This window comes from Homo sapiens, chromosome 13, assembly GCF_000001405.40.
Source record: "Homo sapiens chromosome 13, GRCh38.p14 Primary Assembly".
NCBI classification, from domain to species: Eukaryota; Metazoa; Chordata; class Mammalia; order Primates; family Hominidae; genus Homo; species Homo sapiens.
This window is the reverse complement of record NC_000013.11, coordinates 110,683,272-110,703,465: the sequence shown is the minus strand read 5'-3', so window position 1 is coordinate 110,703,465 and position 20,194 is coordinate 110,683,272. Positions and strand designations below refer to the sequence as shown.

The 20,194-nt window shown below is 46.2% G+C and overlaps 1 protein-coding gene across 15 annotated transcripts in view, besides 1 other annotated feature; it reads left to right on the top strand.

Moving 5' to 3' along the window:
- The window catches only part of CARS2 (cysteinyl-tRNA synthetase 2, mitochondrial), a 72,113-nt gene that overhangs the window by 10,057 nt on the left and 41,862 nt on the right, over positions 1-20,194 (top strand). For 11 of the 15 annotated variants that reach the window (NR_147942.2, XR_001749667.3, XR_007063696.1 and 8 more), the window contains exons 3-5: positions 1,911-2,028; positions 15,448-15,519; positions 15,640-15,745. Coding sequence is in view for 9 of the 15 variants with exons in the window: in NM_024537.4 (NP_078813.1) it covers positions 1,911-2,028; positions 15,448-15,519; positions 15,640-15,745 (296 nt within the window). In the remaining 6 variants the exon portion in view is untranslated. Of the gene's footprint in view, positions 1-1,910; positions 2,029-5,498; positions 5,549-15,447; positions 15,520-15,639; positions 15,746-17,867; positions 18,081-20,194 lie in introns of those variants that run through there. The other 4 variants (NR_147941.1, NM_001352252.2, XM_047430606.1 and 1 more) reach the window with 4 other exon arrangements.
- Positions 4,604-4,763: an enhancer, noted in NCBI's record as "active region_8008". NCBI's record gives its function as "activates an Ori minimal core promoter by ATAC-STARR-seq in GM12878 lymphoblastoid cells {active_cell/tissue: GM12878}" and the evidence as "EXISTENCE:reporter gene assay evidence [ECO:0000049][PMID:35858748]".

Genomic DNA, 20,194 nt, shown 5'->3' with positions numbered 1-20,194 from the left:
ACAGGGCCTTCCCAGGGGCTGGTGGGAGCTTGGGACTCTCCTGTTGACCACCTTCCTGTCAGCCTGGCCAACCCCTCCAGGCCTTTGCTGGGCTGGCCTGCCCCACCTCCCTCTCCCCATCTCAGCTCTCCTAGCATTGTACTCCTTCAGTGGTTATTTATGCAACCATCTGATGTCGTTAGCATGATGTAATTATTTCAGCTCCAGCAGGACAGGGATGCACACAGTGCCTGCTGCAGAAAGGTAGAATTTGAGCAATGGGTAGCACTCAGTTCACTGGAAAGAGACACCCTGAAAAATAGCCTCCACCATTTCCAGAAGAGGTCAGAGGGATGGAAACCCTGTTTGGGGAAAACAAATAGATCAGTTTGGTGCTAGGGGGGAGGAGCAGGGGAAGGGATGGGGCGTCAGTTGCAGCCAGACTGGGGAGGGTGCTGCGTGGTCTGGCCCAGAGAGTTTGGATTTCATGCCATGGTAGACGGAGTCACACTGGAGCGTTTTGAGGGAAGACTCTTAGCAAATGAATCATTTCAGCGATCACCCAGATGAGCACACTCACCCAGTGGATGGAGAAAATGGGGCAGAAAGAGCCGGGCTGACGGTAGCATGGTTCATGGTGGAGTCACAGAAGCAAGCTGAGGTCTCCTGATGCCATGTTCTTCAGACTTGGCTGCCCGGCACTTGCAAGGCGTGTGTGTGCGTGTTTGTGTATAGAGTGGCCCCTGTGGTCACAGCCTGCCTGCAGCGTCTCAGGGTCTCAAATTGCTCATGACCCTGCATTCCGCCAGCTCTGCCAAGCTGTGGAGCCTCTGCTGTCTCCAAGGGCAGTTCCGGGACTCAGCCTGGGCTCCTCTGGGCCAAGCAAGGGACTTGACTCTTGTTTTCATTTGCTTTAGGTTCCTGTAATTTTTTTCTTGTAAATCTCACATCTTTTAGACTCTTTCCCAACTTGAGGTGAATGAAGGAGCATGGTGATGAGAATGGTAATAATAGCTTGTGTTTTTAGAATTCATGCTGCACAGGCGGTAAGGCTGGACAGCAGTCCTGTTAGGTGGTGGGATTTTGCCAAATTTATAAGCAAGCCGACTGAGCTGTAAGAGGTTAATTATCTTGTTGAGTTTTGGAGATAGTTTTGTCCCTGGAATCAAGATTTGGTCTCAGCTGTGTTTGGAGAGGGAGGGGGTGTGTGGGAGGTTAAAGTGATACAATAACATGGCTAGGATTCCCCCACACCACCCTAAGAGAAAACAATTTTACGAACTGAAATTTAGGCCACATGGATAGCAGAGGTGAGTGTGACATTAGATAACCTTGAGTTTTAAGGTAACTTTTATGGGAAAACAGATTCTTGAGATGCTAAGTAGATTTTAAACCCTTTTAGTTTTACAAGTCTGAATTACCCCAGTGTAGTATATAAATAAGCTGGCATTTTTAAATATTCTACACTAGTGTGTGCATTCTTAGGAGTAATCTTATATGGCTTTAATGGGATCGTACTTGTTTTGATTTGGTATTTGCTTCTGTTTTGTCATAGTGAAAAATTAGAATTACTCTAGAACATGAACAAGAATGGTGAAAACACGATCTTAACTGAGAGATTGTATTATGAGTGAATTTTTATACAATTAAATAGACTTCAACTCACTTAAGCAACAACTCCAAAATTAAAAATGCTAATATTGTGTCCTGAAATTGATGCAATACCTTTGTCAGTTTCTCCTGAGAACCCTTGTGGCGCAGGCCCTGGTGCCATCAGTGAGAGGGAGTTTCCTTGTACCTGCTCCGCTGACCTGTCCATTGTGCTACACAGTAGAAGTTATGGAGCAGCATGTTAAAATGTAATGGATTTTTTACAAAGATAACTGATGACTTTGTGTAATAAAGACATCCTGACACTTTTTTTCTTTCAGCTCATATGTTAGATTTGATATCATTCGAAGGATCCTAACCAAGGTTTTTGGATGCAGCATAGTCATGGTGATGGGTATTACAGATGTAGATGATAAAATCATCAAAAGAGCCAATGAGGTAAGTGGAGAAGAGTTACATCTATTGATAATGCCATTGATTAGTGTTCTGAGCCCTTCCTGAAAGTGGTTCTTGGCCGGGCGTGGTAGCTTACGCCTGTAATCCCAGCACTTTGGGAGGCCAAGACAGGTGGATCACTTGAGGTCAGGAGTTTGAGGCCAGCCTGACAAACATGGTGAAACCTTGTCTGTACTAAAAATACAAAAATTAGTCAGGTGTGGTGGCGGGCTCCTGTAATCCCAGCTCCTCAGGAGGCTCAGGCAGGAGAATCGCTTGACCCTGGGGGGGCGAAGGTTGCAATGAGCGGAGATTGTGCCACTGCACTCCAACCTGGGTCATGGAGACTCTGTCTCAAAAAAAAAAAGAAAAAAGAAAGTGGTTCTTGTTTGCATTTTACAAGTAGTTCTCACATCTTATTGTCCATGTGTGGCCAGTGGGTGTAATCTGAGACATGAAACAGTGCTGGGTTAGCAGGGTTTCTTTGGTGCCCTAGTAAAGGAAGTTAACATCTATCGTATTGTGATCGCTGAAGGCTTTTCTGTGGCCTCGTGTCGTTACCTCCTTCTGTGGTCGTCTCCTGGCTCCAATCTTACTCCCTCCCCTGGCCCCTCGGCCTCCAAGGGAAATGACTTGACTTTCTCTTTACTGAGGGAACCAGACCCACTGATTGGACGTATTCATATTTGTGCTAATGATGCCTTTCATGTCTGTGTCTTGATAGTTTAAAAAGTACTTTTTGTATCTATTAGTATTTCAGTCTCAGAACAACCCTGTGTGCTGCGCAGAGCAGACCTTATTGTGCTTTTTTTAACACATTTTATTCCATATTAAAAAATTATTTGAAGCGATTTGAGATCTACAGAAAAATGACAAGAATAGTACAAAGATCTCCTGCAGCCACCCTGGGTTTCCTCGTGGCCATTGTTGGCTGCGTTGGGCCATCATCTTCTCTCTGTTCTAGACTTTTCCCACCAGGCCGCCTCCCCTCTCTGCACACGCCACGCGTGCCTTCAGAGCAAGGTCACTGGCTCTCGAGGCCCGCACAGCCCTCCCAGTCAGGAACCGGACATTGATGCAGTGCGCTGGTGTGGGTGACATGGACGTCAACCCCAGGTGTTGTCCCTGTCCCCGAGCGCCTCTTTCTTTTCTGTTCTAGAACCCCTTCCAGAGTCCTGTTGTCTCCTCGGTCTCCTTCAGTCTTCAGTAGTTCCCTGTCTCATGTCCTTGACACTGTCAAGGATTGTAGGACTTTGATTTTGTAAGGTGGCCCTCCACTCAGGTTCATTGGATGTGTCCCCATCTTGCAGAAGAGTCAAGAGGTTAAGGTGATCACATCTTGAGGTTGCACAGACCTTCAGGGGCAGGGCCACTCCCACAGCTCTGACTTCAGCTATCTCTGGGCAAGTACCCCTGCCAGGTGGGAATGGCCTGCGCACTTGTGGCGGGTAGCAGAAGTCTCTTTCCCGTGCAGGCTGAGGGCCCCACTGGAGTCTGGCCCACACCTGGAGTGTGGTGCCTGGCAAGCTTTGGGAAGACACAGTGGATGAGGTTGTACAGGCAGGTGGGACATTGGAGGCGCCTCCTCGGGCTCTCCCTGTTGGCTGGGGGCCAGTGCCCCGCACATCACTTCTACCGGAAGGGCTTTGGTGGGTCCTTTGACTTTAACTGCTGGTGAGGAAGACTTTTCCTAAAGAAGCCATTCTGATGAAACGCTGTCACTCTTTGCCCCACATGCTGTCTTGTGTCGGCTTTCTCCATTGCGGGTGCTTCCTCTAATCACCATTCTCTCTGGACATTTTTGCCCATTTTCACAATTCACTGTGGTTTAGCATACAAGACAGTCTATTCATTTGTGTGTTAGTTAGGATGACTGGCTATTTCCTTTTCCTGAATCTGATGAAGGAATTTAAGTAAAGCTGACCTAATTTTGATGTAGACGAGATGTAGTCTTGTGATACTTTGCCAGTTACCACTGCTTTTACCAGCATGTGTTACAGTGGAAATGTTCTAACATACATGAAGTAGAGAGAAGAGCATATGAACCCATGCACCTGTCACCGGCGTCCATGGTCAGCACCTGTTCCACCCCTGTTCTCTCTGCTTTTTGTGGAGACCACCTGTGGATTGTCCAGTGGTGGGCTGCTGTTTGGCAGTTTGACCCTCCAAGAGCATTAGACGGTGTTTGTCTTAGTCTGTTTTGTGCTGCTGTAACAGAACACCACAGGTTGGGTAATTTATAATGAATAGAAACGTATTTGCTCACTATGCTGGAGGCTGGAAACCAAGATCAAGGTGCCAGCATCTGGCAAGGGCCCTCTTACTGCATCATCCCATGGTGGAGGGCAAGAGGTCAAGGGGAGAGAAAGAAGCCCTGCCAAAAGCCCCCTGCCCCCACCCCTCCTTGGGTTTTTTTTTCTTTTTTTTTGGAGACAGGGTCACACTGTGTCGCCTAGGCTGGAGTGCAGTGGTGTGGTCATAGTTCAGTGCAGCCTTGATCTCCTGGGCTCAAGCTGTTCTCCCACCTCAGCCCTCCTGGTAGCTGGGACTCAGCTGTGCACCACCACACATGACTAATTTTTTTCTTTTTTCTATTTTTAGTAGAGATGCGGTTTCACTATGTTGCCCAGGCTGGTCTCAAACTCCTGAGCTCAAGCAATCCTCCTGCCTCGGCCTCCCAAAGTGCTAGGATTACAGGTGTGAGCCACTGCACCTGGCCGGAAAGCCCTTTTAAGAAGGCATGAAGCCCATCCAAGAGGGTGGGGCCCTCACGGCCTAATCACTTCTTCAAGTTCTCACCTCTTAATACTGTTACAAGGGCAAATAAATTTCAACATGAGTTTTGGAGGGGACAAACATTCAAACCATAGCAGTGTTTCTGGTGCTTTTTAAAAAAAACTTGCTGGATTTTTTTTTTTTTGAGACAGAATTTCACTCTTGTTGCACAGGCTGGAGTGCAATGGTGCTATCTCCGCTCACTGCAACCTCCACATCCCGGGGTCAGGCGATTCTCCTGCCTCAGCCTCCCGAGTAGCTGGGATTACAGACACCCACCACCATGCCTGGCTAATTTTTGTATTTTTAGTAGAGACGGGGTTTCACCACGTTGGCCAGGCTGGTCTCGAACTCCTGATCTCAGGTGATCCGCCCTCCTCGGCCTCCCAAAGTGCTAGGATTACAGGTGTGAGCCACCACGCCTGGCCTGGATTTCTTTTTTTGAAAAAAAAATATACATATACATACTTTTTAAGTCAGTGAGATTTGAATTATAGCATTTGTCTGTCATTGTGGCTTCCCTTCCTCTTTAACCTCCCGTCACACCCATGCATCTTCCTTTTGTGAAATGGGGTGGAACTAGTGACTAAAGATTTGGATTGGAAGTCAGAGGCCGCCTTTGGGCTGGGGCGTTTATCTGAAAAGAGGCTGAACTTTGTCATTTGTTGAGTGAACAGAGCTCTTCTCTTGTCTCTTAGGCATGAGTCAAAGGAATGGTGTGAGGTCCTTGAGGAACATTTTCACTGAGGTCTCTGTCTTCCTATTTTCTATTGATTTGTCTTTCTCATAACTGGGTAGTCTCCCACCGCATGGGGCTGTTTAGCAGTTCTAGCCTTTTCCCAATTGCTGTTTGTATTGCTTCTGGCTGTTAAAAAGAGTGCTGCTATGAACATATATGCTTTTGTTTTGTTTACTTATAAATATATTTCCTGTGGCTGGGTGCAGTGGCTCACGCCTGTAATCCTATACTTTGGAAGGCTGGATCACTTAAGCCCAGGAGTTAGAGACCAGTCTGGCCAACATGGCAAAACGCTGTCTCTACTAAAACACAAAAAATTAGCTGGGTGTGGAGGTGTGCACCTGTAATCCCAGCTACTCGAGAGGCTGAGACACGAGAAGTACTTGAACCCGGGAGGTGGAGGTTGCAGTGAGCTGAGATCGTGCCACTGCACTCCAGCCTGGGCCACAGGGTGAGACTCTGTCTCTAAATAAAAAGTTAATTAATTTCCAAAGCGGAATTGCTAGGTCAAAGGGGGAACAGTTTATTTGATATCTTGCAACTGAGAGTCAGATCATTGAGAGACTGGCAGTGCTGGAAATCGGCTCCCACTTTAAATGTATTTCTTCACATCCTTACCCCCAGCCTATAAGAGGCAGGATTTAGAAGGCAGGTGCGTGATGTCTAAGGCTGTGCGTGAATGTCTAGTCACCAGGTAACCCTCAGCAGAGGTGGTGTTTGGAAATGCCCCACTGGTAAAGAAGGAAGGTCAGTGGTTCGGGGCTTTCACCTGCCGTCGGGGCAGCCAGAGCCTGAAATGAAAGCACTTGGTAGCTTCGTGCCTCTCATGAATCTTCAAGATCAGAAAGAATTGTGTCAGTCCCCATGTCCTGGTGGCAGGGAGCTGGTAGAGGCTGAGACACTGGCTGAGTTCTGGAGGGAGCCCCATGGGACAGAGAAAGGGCCCCGCAGGGGATGGGAGGAGAGGTGAGGACACAGTGTACTTGGAGGGTGTCATGGGGGCGATGGGGAAGGTGGGGCAGGAACGTTGCCATCAGAGAAGCGGGACAAGAGCCCCGAATCCAGGGAGCAGAGAACTGCAGGAAGGAGGAGGTGGCCAGCGTGGTAAAGGGAGGAAGAAGCAAGAGTTAATTTCACAGATGCCACAAGGAGGGATTGGTTGTTAACTTTTTTAAAAATGTTATGATTAGAATATGAAAAACTTGGTAGAATTGGTTAAACATTCTAACTGTAGAGAGTAGTTAATTTTTGAACCAGAGAATTTCCATACTTGGTACACAGCAAGATCCTAAGATGGTATTGAATAGTTTCTTTCCTCAAAATAATGTCTGACTTCAATGTAATAAAACATGTATCTGAAACCCATAGTTATGAAAACATCTGTTTTTTAGTATTTAGTGAAAAGGTAATTCTTTAAGAAATGCAAATCAAAACCACAGTGAGATAACATCTCATGCCAGTTAGAATGGCGATCATTAAAAAGTCAGGAAACAACAGATGCTGGCGAGGATGTGGAGAAATAGGAACGCTTTTACACTGTTGGTGGGAGTGTAAATTAGTTCAACCATTGTGGAAGACAGTGTTGCGATTCCTCAAGGATCTAGAACCAGAAATACCATTTAACCCAGCAATCCCATTACTGGGTATATACCCAAAGGATTATAAATCATTCTACTATAAAGACACATACACACGTATGTTTATTGCAGCACTGTCCACAATAGCAAAGACTTGGAACCAACCCAGATGCCCATCAGTGATAGACTGGATGAAGAAAATGTGGCACATGGAATACTGTGCAGCCATAGAAAAGGATGGGTTCATGTCTTCTGCAGGGACACGGGTGAAGCTGGAAACCATCATTTTCAGCAAACTAACACAGGAACAGAAAACCGAACACCGCATGGTTCTCACTCATAAGTGGGAGTTGAACAATGAGAGCACATGGACACAGGGAGGGGAACATCACACACCCGGCGCCTGTCAGGGGTTGGGGGGCTAGGGGAGGGATAGTATTAGGAGAAATACCTAATGTAGATGACGGGTTGATGGGTGCAGCAAACCACCATGGCACGTGTATACCTGTGTAACAAACCTGCACTTTCTGTACATGTGTCCCAGAACTTAAAGTATAATTTAAAAAAAAAAAAAGGTAATTCTTTTTATCCAATGTAAACTTTTTTGAAGGTAAAATTAAAACTTTTATTTTTCTTCTTTACCTTTTTTATAATATAAAATTTACGATTTTAAACATTTTTAAATGTGCAATTCAGTGGCATTAAGTACATTTACAGCATTAAATGGTGCATAATTCCTCAAGGTTCATCCACCTGCAGCCTGTGCCGGAAGTTCCTTCCTTTTTATGGCTGAATAATGTCACATTGCATGTACACTCTCCTTGCTGTCTATCTTCTGAATATATATGCTTTTGTTTTGGTTCCAGGACCCCCTCCCCACATACCAAAATCCTTGGATGCTCGAGTCCCTGATATAAAATATATTTGCACTTAATCTATGCACATCTTCCCATATACTTTAAATCATATCTAGATTACTTTTAATAACTAATACAATGTAAATGCTCTATAAATAGTAGTACTATATTTTTTAAAAATTTGTATTATTTTTTATTATTTATTTAGTTTTAAGATAGGGTCTCACTCTGTTACCCAGGCTGGGGTGCAGTGGCATAATCACGGCTCACTACAGCCTCACCCTCCCAGGCTCAGGGATCCTCCCACTTCAGCCTCCAGAGTAGCGGGGACCACAGGCATGTGTCACCATGCCCAGTTAATTTTTGTATTTTTTGAAGAGACAGGGCCTTCTAAGTTGCTCAGGCTGGTCTCTAATTCCTGGGCTCAAGCAACCCTCCTGCCTTGGCCTCGCAAAGTGCTGGGATTACAGGCATGAGTCACTGTGCCTGGCATTATTTCTTAATATTTTCTATATGAGATCGATTGAACCCACAGATGCAGAACCCTAGGATACAGAGAGCCGACTGTGCTGCGTTTTCTTTACCCATATTCTTCCACCGTTGGACATTGGGTTTCTTCTCATGCAAGCTTTTAAAATGATAACAATATCTTTCGTGCCATCTGCTCCAAGACTTGTTTTTAAAATATTTTAAATTATAATAATACACTTTCCTGAGTCACTCCCTTGACTTTAATTTTTGGCACCATTTTATAGGTTGTCAGAGATGGAAAGCACAGGTTTTAAACAAATCTGGGGTAAGAATTAAAAGAGGTAGGATATATTCACATAGTAACATTTTGTTTTGTTTTTGTTTTGAGACAGGGTCTCACTTTGTCATCCAGGCTGGAGTGCAATGGTGGGATCTCAGCCCAGCGCAACCTCCGCCTCCCAGGCTCAAGCGATTTTCCTGCCTCAGCCTCCCGAGTACCTGGGACTACAGGCGTACACCACTACGCCCAGCTAATTTTTGTATTTTTAGTAGAGATGGGGTTTCACCATATTGGCCAGGCTGGTCTCAAACTCCTGACCTCAGGTGATCCAGCTGCCTCAGCCTCCCAAGTGCTGGGATTACAGGCGTGAGCTACCACGGCCAGCCAGTAACATTTTATATTAAGAAAAATCATTAAGCCAGGCACGGTGGCTCACGCCTGTAATCCCAGCACTTTGGGAGGCCGAGGTGGGAGGATCACCTGAGGTCAGGAGTTTGAGACCAGCCTAACCACCGTGGAGAAACCTTGTCTCTACTAAAAATACAGAATTAGCTGGGCATGGTGGTGCATGCCTGTAATCCCAGCTACTCAGGAGCTGAGGCAAGAAAATCACTTAAACCTGGGAGGCAGAGGTTGCGGTGAGCTGAGATCGCACCATTGCACTCCAGCCTGGGCAACAAGAGCAAAACTACATCTCAAAAAATAAAAAACAAAACAAAAAAACCGAAAAATTATTATATATGTCTCCAAGTAATTCAAGCCAAAGTTTCTCTTTTTGTGTGCCGGGACACTGGCCTGCATCACCCTGGCTTTCTGGAAGAAGGTGAAATGTTGAGGAAGGGCTGGACACAGGGCCCAGCCAGCGGGCTCCTGTCCTGGAGAGATAGCTAACTTAAAATGATTTACGATCGTTAGAGCTACCTGAGAGAATCCGAAATAGGACTAGGACCCCATTTTAGCGCCTTTCTACCTCGTCTATTTGTTTTATGGCAGTGAGAAAGCAGCACTACCCCGGTATGAGGAATGATCATATGTTTCAGGTTAAATGTAGCAAGCAGTTTGACTTTTAGAATATGAGTTTCCAGCCGGACACGGTGGCTCACGCCTGTAATCCCAGCATTTTGGGAGGCTAAGGCAGGTGGATCACGAGGTCAGGAGATCGAGACCATTCTGGCTAACACGGTAAAACCCCGTGTCTACTAAAAATACAAAAAATTAGCCGGGCGTGGTGGCGGGCACCTGTAGTCCCAGCTACTCGGGAGGCTGAGGCAGGAGAATGGCGTGAACCTGGGTGGCAGAGCTTACAGTGAGCCGAGATTGCGCCACTGCACTCCAGCCTGGGCGACAGAGCGAGACTGCCTCAAAAAAAAAGAATGTAAGTTTTCTCTCCCCAGCACCAGCAGCAGTAGGTGGGTATTCCACTTACAACTCCTTGTCATTGTAGCATTTGTGAGCCATGTCCTCCAGGACTGGGCCGTTGGTGCTGGTGCAGCCACGTGCAGAGAAGGGAGTATTGGGTGTTTGGGGTGTATTCTACCTGATGAGCCTTTAAAGTGTGTGTGCTTGTGTGTTTATATGTTGTCTCTTTCTGAACTAGATAAATTAATTCTTTTTTTTTTTTTTTTTTTTTTTGAGACAGAGTCTCGCTCTGTCACCCAGGCTGGAGTGCAGTGGTGCAATCTCTGCCCACTGCAACCTCCGCCTCCCGAGTTCAAGCGATTCTCCTGCCTCAGCCTCCCAAATGGCTGGGATTACAGGCGCCCACCACCACACCCAGCTAATTTTTGTATTTTTAGTAGAGATGGGGTTTCACCATGTTGGTCAGACTGGTCTCGAACTCCTGACCTCATGATCTGCCCACCTTGTCCTCCCAAAGTGCTGGCATTACAGATGTGAGCCACAGCGCCCAGCCAATTAATTCCTTTTTTGAGACAGAGTTTCACGCTGTTGCCCAAGCTGGAGTGTGGTGGCACAGTCTTGGACATTGCAGCCTCCATCTCCCAGGCTTAAGTGATCCTCCTGCCTCAGCCTCCCAAGTAGTTGGGACTACAGGTATATGCCACCACGCCTGGCTAATTGTTTTGTATTTTTTGTAGAGACAGGGTTTTGCCAGGTTGCTCAGGCCGGCCTAGATAAATTAATTCTAAAGTTCATATAGAACAGCAAAAAAAAAAAAAAAAGGAAGAATAGGAAAAGTCTATAAAAGATGAATATTGAGAGGGACTAGCCCTATCAAATATGAAAACTTTTATTTATTAATTTTTTTTTTTGAGACGGAGTTTTGCTCTTGATGTCCAGGCTGGAGTGCAATGGCACAATCTCAGCTCACCGCAACCTCCGCCTCCCGGGTTCAGGCGATTCTCCTGCCTCAGCCTCCCGAGTAGCCAGGATTACAGACATGTGCCACCACGCCCATCTAATTTTCTGTATTTTTAGTAGAGACGGGGTTTCTCCATGTTGGCCAGGCTGGTCTTGAACTCCCGGCCTCAGGTGATCCACCCACCTCAGCCTCCCAAAGTGCTGGGATTACAGGTGTGAGCCACTGCGCCCGGCCACCAAATATGAAAACATTTTAAAAGCTATAGAAGGTTTTTGTTTTCTCATATATATGTATATATATGTGTGTGTATATATATATATGTATATATGTGTGTGTATATATATGTATGTGTGTATATATATATGTATATGTGTATATATATATATGTGTGTGTGTGTATATATATATATATATATATTTTTTTTTTTTTTTTTCTGCACAGCTTTATGTGGTAGGATTGACCTACAATAGATTGCATGTATTATTCAGGAAGGTGCAGTTTGCCAAATGTTGACCTAGGGATGCCCCTGTGGATGCATCCGTCACCCCTGTGTCTGTGCCCCTCGGGACTCCTCCCTGCACCCCCTAACCCTCTGGTGTCCAAGCATCTGCTGATCTGTTATCTGTGGCTTTAAAGCCTGCAGAAATTAAACACCTGTACAAAGCACGCATAAACAGATGATGGAATACACCAAAAAGTCCAGAAACAGCCCTGATAATCAATGGGAGTTTGTTTTATGATAAAAGATGGCATTTCAAATCAGTAGGGGTGGGAGGTAGAGTGTTGGCAGCTAGGGGTCATCTGGAGAAAAACATAAGCCAGAGGTAGATAGAGGCGTCATAGCCGCATTCAAGGCAGGTCAGAGATTTAAATATAAAAGAGACCCCAAGGCAAATTTGATAGCCTCATACTGGGGAGGCTTTGTAAGTTTGTTTCCAAATCCAGAAGCCATTTATGAGAAAAGATTCAGAAATATGAAAGATTGCTAAGTATAAAAATGACAGTTTTTACATTTCATGAAACAACCATAAAGTTGAAAAACTGTGGAAAAATGGAAATTATATCAGCGATAAAAGGTTAATTTCTTTAATATAAAAATACTTCCGGCCTGGCACGGTGACTCACATCTGTAATCCCAGCACTTCAGGAGGCCGAGGAAGGTGGATCACCTGAGGTCAGGAGTTCGAGACCAGCCTGGCCAACAAGGAAAAACCCCATCTTTACTAAAAATACAAAAATTAGCCATGCATGGTGGCGTGTGCCTGTAGTCCCAGCTACTTGGGAGGCTGAGACAGGAGCATCGCTTGAGCCCGGGAGGCGGAGGTTGCAGTGAGCTGAGATTGTGCCATTGCACTCCAGCGTGGACAACAAGAACAAAACTCTGTCTCAAAAGAAAAAAAAGAAAAGAATTCCTAACATCCAATAAGAAAAAGACCTATACCACTCAATAGAAACACAGGTGTGGATAACTACAGGTCATTTAATGCAGATAGTTCCTAAACATGGGAGATGTTCAGATTTACTCAAAAGAGGTAAAAGCTTAAAGAGCAAAGCACTTGTCAGCTGTCACACTGACACCATGTGAAAGTTGGCTGACCCTGCAGGTGAGGGCAGAGGAAGACAGACACCTCCAGGTGTTGCTGGTCGGGTGTAGCTGGCACAGCTTTCCTGGAAGGCAGCTTGCAGGAGCGGCCAAGTCCATGAGCCTGTGCCCTCTGTCTCCTGCCTACGAGTGTAGCTCACAGGCACACTTGGGCTGCTGCAAAGTGACCTGTGCACAGTTGTGTTTGTAGTGGTGAGGATGGGATGTGCATCGGGACAGGACCGGGTAAGCACGTAGCGACACATCTGGAAGGGGGAGTAGAGGCCACCTTGAAAGGAGCGAGGCAGCTCAGTGTGTCCAGCATGATGGACCCCCAGGATTCTGTGTGCTGCGAGGGAGAGAAGCTAGCAGCACAGAGCAGAGTGTGGAATGGGCTGCATTTGGGGATTCCAAGAAAAAGATGCAAATGTATATATATAACCACGTTCATGCTTGTGGGAAAACTGGTCGCTGTATTTTCCTTCTGGGAGGAAAGCCAAGTCTGGGCACCCCTTCATGCCATTTGACTTCTCCTGGCAATAAATTACCTCTGCAGAAAAATATAGATTAAGCAACCTGCTGATCTTTATTATTTTATTTTTTATTTTTTTGAGACAGGATCTCGCTCTGTCGCCCAGTCTAGAGTGCAGTAGGGCAGTGTTGGCTCACTGCAACCTCCAGTTCCTGGGTTCAAGCGATTCTCCTGCCTCAGCCTCCTGAGTAGCTGGGATTACAGGCGCCTGCCACCACGCTCAGCTGATTTTTTGTATTTTCAGTAGCAACGGGGTTTCACCATGTTAGCCAGGATGGTCTAGATCTCCTGACCTCATGATCTGCCCACGTCGGCCTCCCAAAGTGTGAGGATTACAGGCGTGAGCCACCGCGCCCGGCCACCCCACTGATCTTTAGGCCCAAAATTGCATGGAATTTGAGACTTCCGGGGGAGTCTGAAGCGGCAAGAAGACACAGTACTTTTGGGTTTTTTCCTTTGGTCTTTTGTCCCCTGGATAGACATACATTAACTGATTTATTGTTGTAAAGGTCTGCTTTGCCACAAAACTGTACCGCAGGAGAGGGGCTGAAGTGTATTGGAGTACCAGCTATGTGCTAGGTGCTGTGTATTTTCTCTCTTTAATGTGATATTTATGTAATGTTTTCTTTTACAAAGCTGTCCTGCCCGTATATACACAGTGGTTCTTCTAGCAGTCTAAGGGATTACTAGGTAGAATATCTCCATGCTGTAAAGTAACTGAAGGCCAAGAGGTTTGATTATTGATTTGCCCAAGACCCCAAAGCTTAAACAACACCTGGGTAGCAACGCATAGTTCACCAGCTTGCTTTCTTCAGTGGGTATTCTTTGGTGGGGCTTTCTGGGTTGACTATGCCATTCAGAGCCCTGGGTCTCAGGGTCACATGGTTGGGACCTGGCCCCACGTGTGGCGTTGCGCTTGAGAAAGTTTCTCAGTATTCTAGAGTGGTAATTCCTTCACCTGTGAAATGGGGAGACTTGGTTCCCGAGGCTGCGTGGAGCAGCTCGGAGAGACTAGCAGGTGGCAGGTGCTGTGCTTGGGAGGCCCAAAGGCCATTTGAGCAGGACCAGCAGTTATGATGCCCGGCTCCATTCCAGAGCTTCACAGTGTCTTGTGCATCTGTTCATGTAGAGTTTTTCATTGAAATTATGAAATAACATGAGCGAACCTAGTCTTGTGTCTCAGCCTCCTTGGATAATGTGGCAGGGGCTGCAGATGCGTGCCCCCAAGGCCCCCACATTTGGAATTGATTGGACTGTTTTGATGGTCTATCTCCAGAAACCCAGCCATGGGACCCGAGGGAATGAGTACTCCATTAAATCCCAGTTGTAGTGTGTTAAATTACTTTCAAAATATTTCTTTAGAAGTTCCTTTTTGATCTTTCTTTTTTGTTTGTTTTGGAAGAGAGTCTTGCTCTGTCGCCCAGGCTGGAGTGCAGTGGCACCTTCTTGGCTGACTGCAACCTCCGCCTCCTGAGTTCAAGTGATTCTCCTGCCTCAGCCACCTGAGTCTCTGGGATTACAGGTGTGCACCACCATGCCTGGCTAACTTTTGTATTTTAAGTAGAGACGGGGTTTCACCGTGTTGGCCAGGCTGGTCTCAAACTCCCGGCCTCATGTCATCCACCTGCCTTAGTCTCCCAAAGTGCTGGGATTTATAGCTATGACCCACAACACCCAGCCTCCTCTTTAGTATATTTTTGACTATTTTTTTTTTCTCCTGAGGATTAAGGGATAAGATAGGAACCTAGTTTCTTATCATACAGACTGGACTAGGGTGATTTTGCCCTTGTCTTAGAAAAGTGGAGGATCCTTGGTATGTTTTGTTTTCTATTTTACTTTATTTTTATTTTTGTTTCGGAGATGGTGTCTCGTCCTGTTGCCAAGGATGGGATTGCAGTGGCACGATCATGGCTGTTCGCAGCTTCAACCTCATGGTCTCAAACGATCCACTCATCTTGGCCTCCCAAAGTGTTGGGATTACAGGCGTGAGCCGCTGCACCCAGCTGGTTTGTTTTTTACTATATAATGGAAATTGTGACATTATTTCTTCTCTAACCAGAAGACAAGGTCAATAAGCCTTTTTTTCTAGCTAAGCTACTAGTAAAAGTTCAGTACCTAAAATGAGTGCCCCCGCTTTGGTGAGTGGGTGGGGGCAAACTGAGGCCGAGGCACCGGAGGTGGCCGGGGTATGTTTGCTGTCGTGTTGTGCACGTGGGCTTTCTTGTGGCTGGGTGGTTCTGTTGCGAATGCCCCAGACTCATTAACGTGCACATCTAATCCTTCTGCAGATGAATATTTCCCCCGCTTCCCTCGCCAGTCTTTATGAGGAAGACTTCAAGCAGGACATGGCAGCCCTGAAGGTAAAGTGTGGGGCTGGTTGTTCCTGCCATGAGGGTGACAGGCGTGAGCAATGACAGCTGGTGCTGGCTGACCTGTGCTTCTCACGAGGGAAACACGGTCACGTCTCCACTTCCTTGCAGGTTCTCCCACCCACGGTGTACCTGAGGGTAACCGAAAATATTCCTCAGATAATTTCTTTCATTGAAGGAATCATTGCTCGTGGGAACGCTTATTCAACGGCAAAAGGTAGGGTTTATGTTCTTTTTTTTTTTTTCTTTTTTTTTTTTTGAGACAGAGTTTTACTCTGTCACCCAGGCTGGAGTGCAGTGGTGCTATCTCAGCTCACTGCAACCTCTGCCTCCCTGGTTCAAGCGATTCTCCCGTCTCAGCCTCCTGAATAGCTGGGACTACAAGGTGCGTGCCACCATGCCCGGCTACATTTTTTTTGTTTTGGTATTTTTAGTAGAGATAAGGTTTCACCATGTTGGCCAAGCTGGTCTCAAACTCCTGACCTTGTGATCCACCTGCCTCAGCCTCCCAAAGTGCTGGGATTACAGGCGTGAGCCACTGTGCCCAGCCGGTTTATGTTCTTAAAACTAAAACATTACTGGGATTTGGAGAAACTGGATGTATTTATCAGCTGTAGGAACATACTAAAATTTACTTCTGTCTTGCTAGGATTCCAACAGCAAAGCTGTTGTGGGGTTTTCTACAATATTGTGTCTCTTTGCGAAATGGTTGAATTAGTTCTAAATATCTTTTCCAGGGAGAGGGGAACGTCTGGACAGCTAGTCTTGGTAACAGTCGTGGAATCTAGGTGGTAGGTGTACAGGTGTTCATTGTGGTGTTATTTCATCTTTGTTTAGGTATTTTCCTAACAAAAAGTTGGGGACAAACACAGTACCTCCAGAGACCTGCTCTCTTCTTATTAAAAGTCAGCCCAGGTCACCCCCGTCTGTTTGGCTATCGTTTTTTCACAGGCCATTACGAGTGAGTTGCGGGAGTCAGAGGTTGCAGTGAGCCGAGATCACACCATTGCACTCCAGCCTGGTGACAGAGCAAGACTCCGTCCACCCACCCTCCCCTGCACAAAAAACAAAAAGTTGCAGGGCCAGGCATGGTGGCTGATGCCTGTAATCCCAGTACTTTGGGAGGTGGAAGCGGGTGGATCACTTGAGGCCAAGAATTTGAGACCAGCCTGGGTAACATGTTAAAACCTTCTTTCTACTAAGATGACAAAAAATCAGCCAGGCCTGGTATCGCGCGCCTGTGGTCCCAGCTATTCTGGAGGCTGAGGCATGAGAATTGCTTGCACCCAGGAGGCATAGTTTGCAGTGAGCCGAGATCACACCATTGTACTCCAGCCTGGGTGACATTGCCAGACTGTCTCAAAAAATAAAAATAAAAAAGTGAGTTGCAGGGCTGGGCGTGGTGGCTGATACCTATAATCCCAGCACTTTGGGAGGCAGAGGCAGGTGGATCACTTGAGTCCAGGAGTTCAGGACCAGCCTGGGCAACATGGAGAGACCCCTTCTCTACAAAAATAAAATATAAAAATTAGCTAGGCATGGTGGCGTGCTCCTGTAGTCTCAGCTACTCAGGAGGCCGAGGTGAGAGGATAGATTGAGCCCAGGAAATTCGAGGCTGCAGTGAACCATGATTGTCCCACTGCACACCAGCCTGGGAGACAGAGCGAGACCTTGTCTCAAAAAAAAAAAAAAAAAGCGTGAGTTGCAGATGTTCTGTCGCATCAGCCATGACACTTCAACATGCATCTCTGCATAAAAGGAGTCCAGATGTCATGGTCAGACCTCAGACAATGAAGAATTTCTGGCTAGCTTCGCGTGTCCTCTCTGTATTAAATATACTCACTTGTCCCCAGGGCATGTGCTGCGTGTGCATTTGTTGGTTTAGTCTCCTCACTTTTTCCCCTCCTCTTTCTTTTTTTCTTTTTTTCTCTTTTTTTTTTTTTTTCATTTTTTCTGGGTAAGCACATGTAGATTCAAGACTCTGACAGGTCAGTTTTCCTGTGGAGCAGTCTGTGTTTAGATTTGCATGTTGCTTACTGCAGGTGGTTTCATTGGTTTGCGGATGCTAATCTTTGTCTGGTGGACCCCAGGCAAGGCTGGCGTCTTGCTGTTTTGCTGCTTTGGTGATGAAGCATCGCCATAAATCCGAACTAAATCCCACCCATCCTGGCTGCAAACCCTGACCACAGCCTCATCTCTCCATGAAGTTCTCCTTCACCCAGCACAGTTGAAAGTGAACTTACTTTCTCAGCCTTGATATCTCTGCTGTACCATTTGGCAGCCAGTTCTGCACTGCCATAGTTTGCTGTTTAATGTATTCATATTTTGTCCCCATCTAGATCATAAATTCTCAGACCATAAAAACCTTTTGCTTTACTGAATGACGCCTTAAAGTATCCAGCCGACGGCTGAAGATACGTAGGTATTGAATGTTTGTTGCAATGAGTCAGAAAGCATGAAGCACTGCCCTGGACGTTCCTGTCCTTCCTGGGTCCTACTTGGAGCGTAAGATGAGCACGTGAGGCCCTGAGGATCTGCTCAGTAGGCTCTGTGTATGGAAGTAGCTTTTTACTTGTTCTAATGTGGTATATTTAGATTTTGTTTCAAAGAAAAACTTTTTTTTTTTTTGAGACAGAGTCTTGCTCTGTCGCCTAGGCTGGAGTGCAGTGGCACAATCTTGGCTCACAGCAACCTCCGCCTCCCGGGTTCAAGCAATTCTCCTGCCTCAGCCTCCCAGGAAAAACTTTTTTTAAAGGACTTAGGTGGTTGAATTAGAGTTTGCACCAGAAAACACAGGAATTAATTTTTTGCTGTCGTGTAACTTGAAATAAGATATGTGGGCCTGTGCTTCCATTTTAGGAATAAAGTGATAAATGTTCACGAGTCTTTAGGGATTCTCGTCTTCACAGGCTTGAGGATTGAATGCTGTTTGTTGTTTTGTTACTGTGTTTTATTATAAACAATTTAATGATAGTATAAATATAATTAATTCAAAATACACTTACATTCAATCAAACCCCAGTAATTTGGACTTTGTTACAATTCCACAAGGGCTTGGTTGTAATTTGATCTTTGAACTCTTGGTGAAAAACAATTTCTTCAGCAAATTGATAACATAAAGCAAAGTGAAGGGGGAATGTTTCCACCATTTAAGGGAGTGGTTTCTCTCCAGTGAAGCGCTTTTAAAGCACTGTTTATATTCTGACTTCATAGAAAGCAGCTCCCAGGGCCTGGATGTCCCCCTCCTGTCCTCTGGTTCATCCCCAGCACCGAGTGCCAGCTTAATGGTCAACCCTGAATGACCAGAGAGGACGCTGCAGGGACAGGGCAGGGTTTTCTGAGCACAATGGTCACTGGTGGGAGGAAAGGCCAGTGTGGCTTGGGCAAACAAAGCCGGGTGACATTTCAACAGAAAACCCTGCCCTGTCCCTTCAGCGTCCTCCCTGGTCATTCGGGGTTGACCACTAAGCTGGCACTCGGTGCTGGGGATGAACCAGAGGACAGGAGGGGGACATCCAGGCTGAGGACATGAGGCAGGTCCTGGGTGCAGCTTGTGTTTGCCAGTTGCAAAGTTTCCTTGATCTTACCAACACCAGTGTCCGCAGTAAGGACAGTACTGATGCAAATCAGTAACTGCATTAGTAAAAAAGAATGTGAAGACTCAAACTTTGTAAAGGCTAAAAGTTGCACCCACGCCTGGGGCCTGAGGACAGCTACATGCTGCTGTGTGGTTGGAGGGTGCTGGATGGTGGCTGCGGATCTGTGGTACTGAGAATGGCCATGGTCACAGCCCGGATGAGCATTGCCTCCTTCCTAGGGAGACACATGGCCTGGAACACACAGCGGCTGCAGCCGGGCAGCCTTGGAGCATAGGTTGGTAGTGCTTTCTTCTTGACAAAGCTCCCACTCTGAGTGCCTCCTCCCCAGCTCTGCTTTCTTAGGCTTTGTGGTGGAAGGGGCAAGGGCAGCCCAGGCTTGCAGGAGGCTCTGGAGAAGGTTCTGACCTCAGACTGCAAAGCGGACCTTGGCACTCAGCCTCACAGACACTTCAATATGCAGATGATTTTTTTGTGTGTTTTTTTTGGTAGAGATGGGGTCTCACTATGTTGCCCAGGCTGGTCTCGAACTCTTCAGCTCAAACAATCCTCCTGCCTCGGACTCCCAAAGTGCTGGGATTGGAGGCGTGAGCCACTGCACCCAGCCAGATGATGTTTTCAATCTGAGTAAAAAGGTAGTTTTAGAAGATGACTGGGCAAAGAAAGAGTGTCTTTGCTAGCTGGTGTGTAACATAAAGTAAAGAAAGAGTGTCTTTGTTAGCTGTTGTGTAACACAAGGCACAAGATCTAAATGAAGGTCAGTGATAACACTTTTCTTTTTTCTGATTAAATAATTGTCTCAGTAGTTTACAGAGAACTTACATTTGTGTTTTCACTTTCACGTCTGTGTACTCATGATATGTCCAAATCATGCATTTATCTTATAGTATTGTTTTTAATTCTGGTTAACAAATATATTAAGCCAGGCATGGTGTCACTCCTATAGCCCCACCTACTGGGAAGGTTGAGGTGGGAAGACTGCCTGAGCCAAGGAGTTCAAGGCTATCGTGAGCTGTGATTGTACCACTGCACTCCAGCCTGAGCAACAGCAAGACCCTGTCTATAAAAAT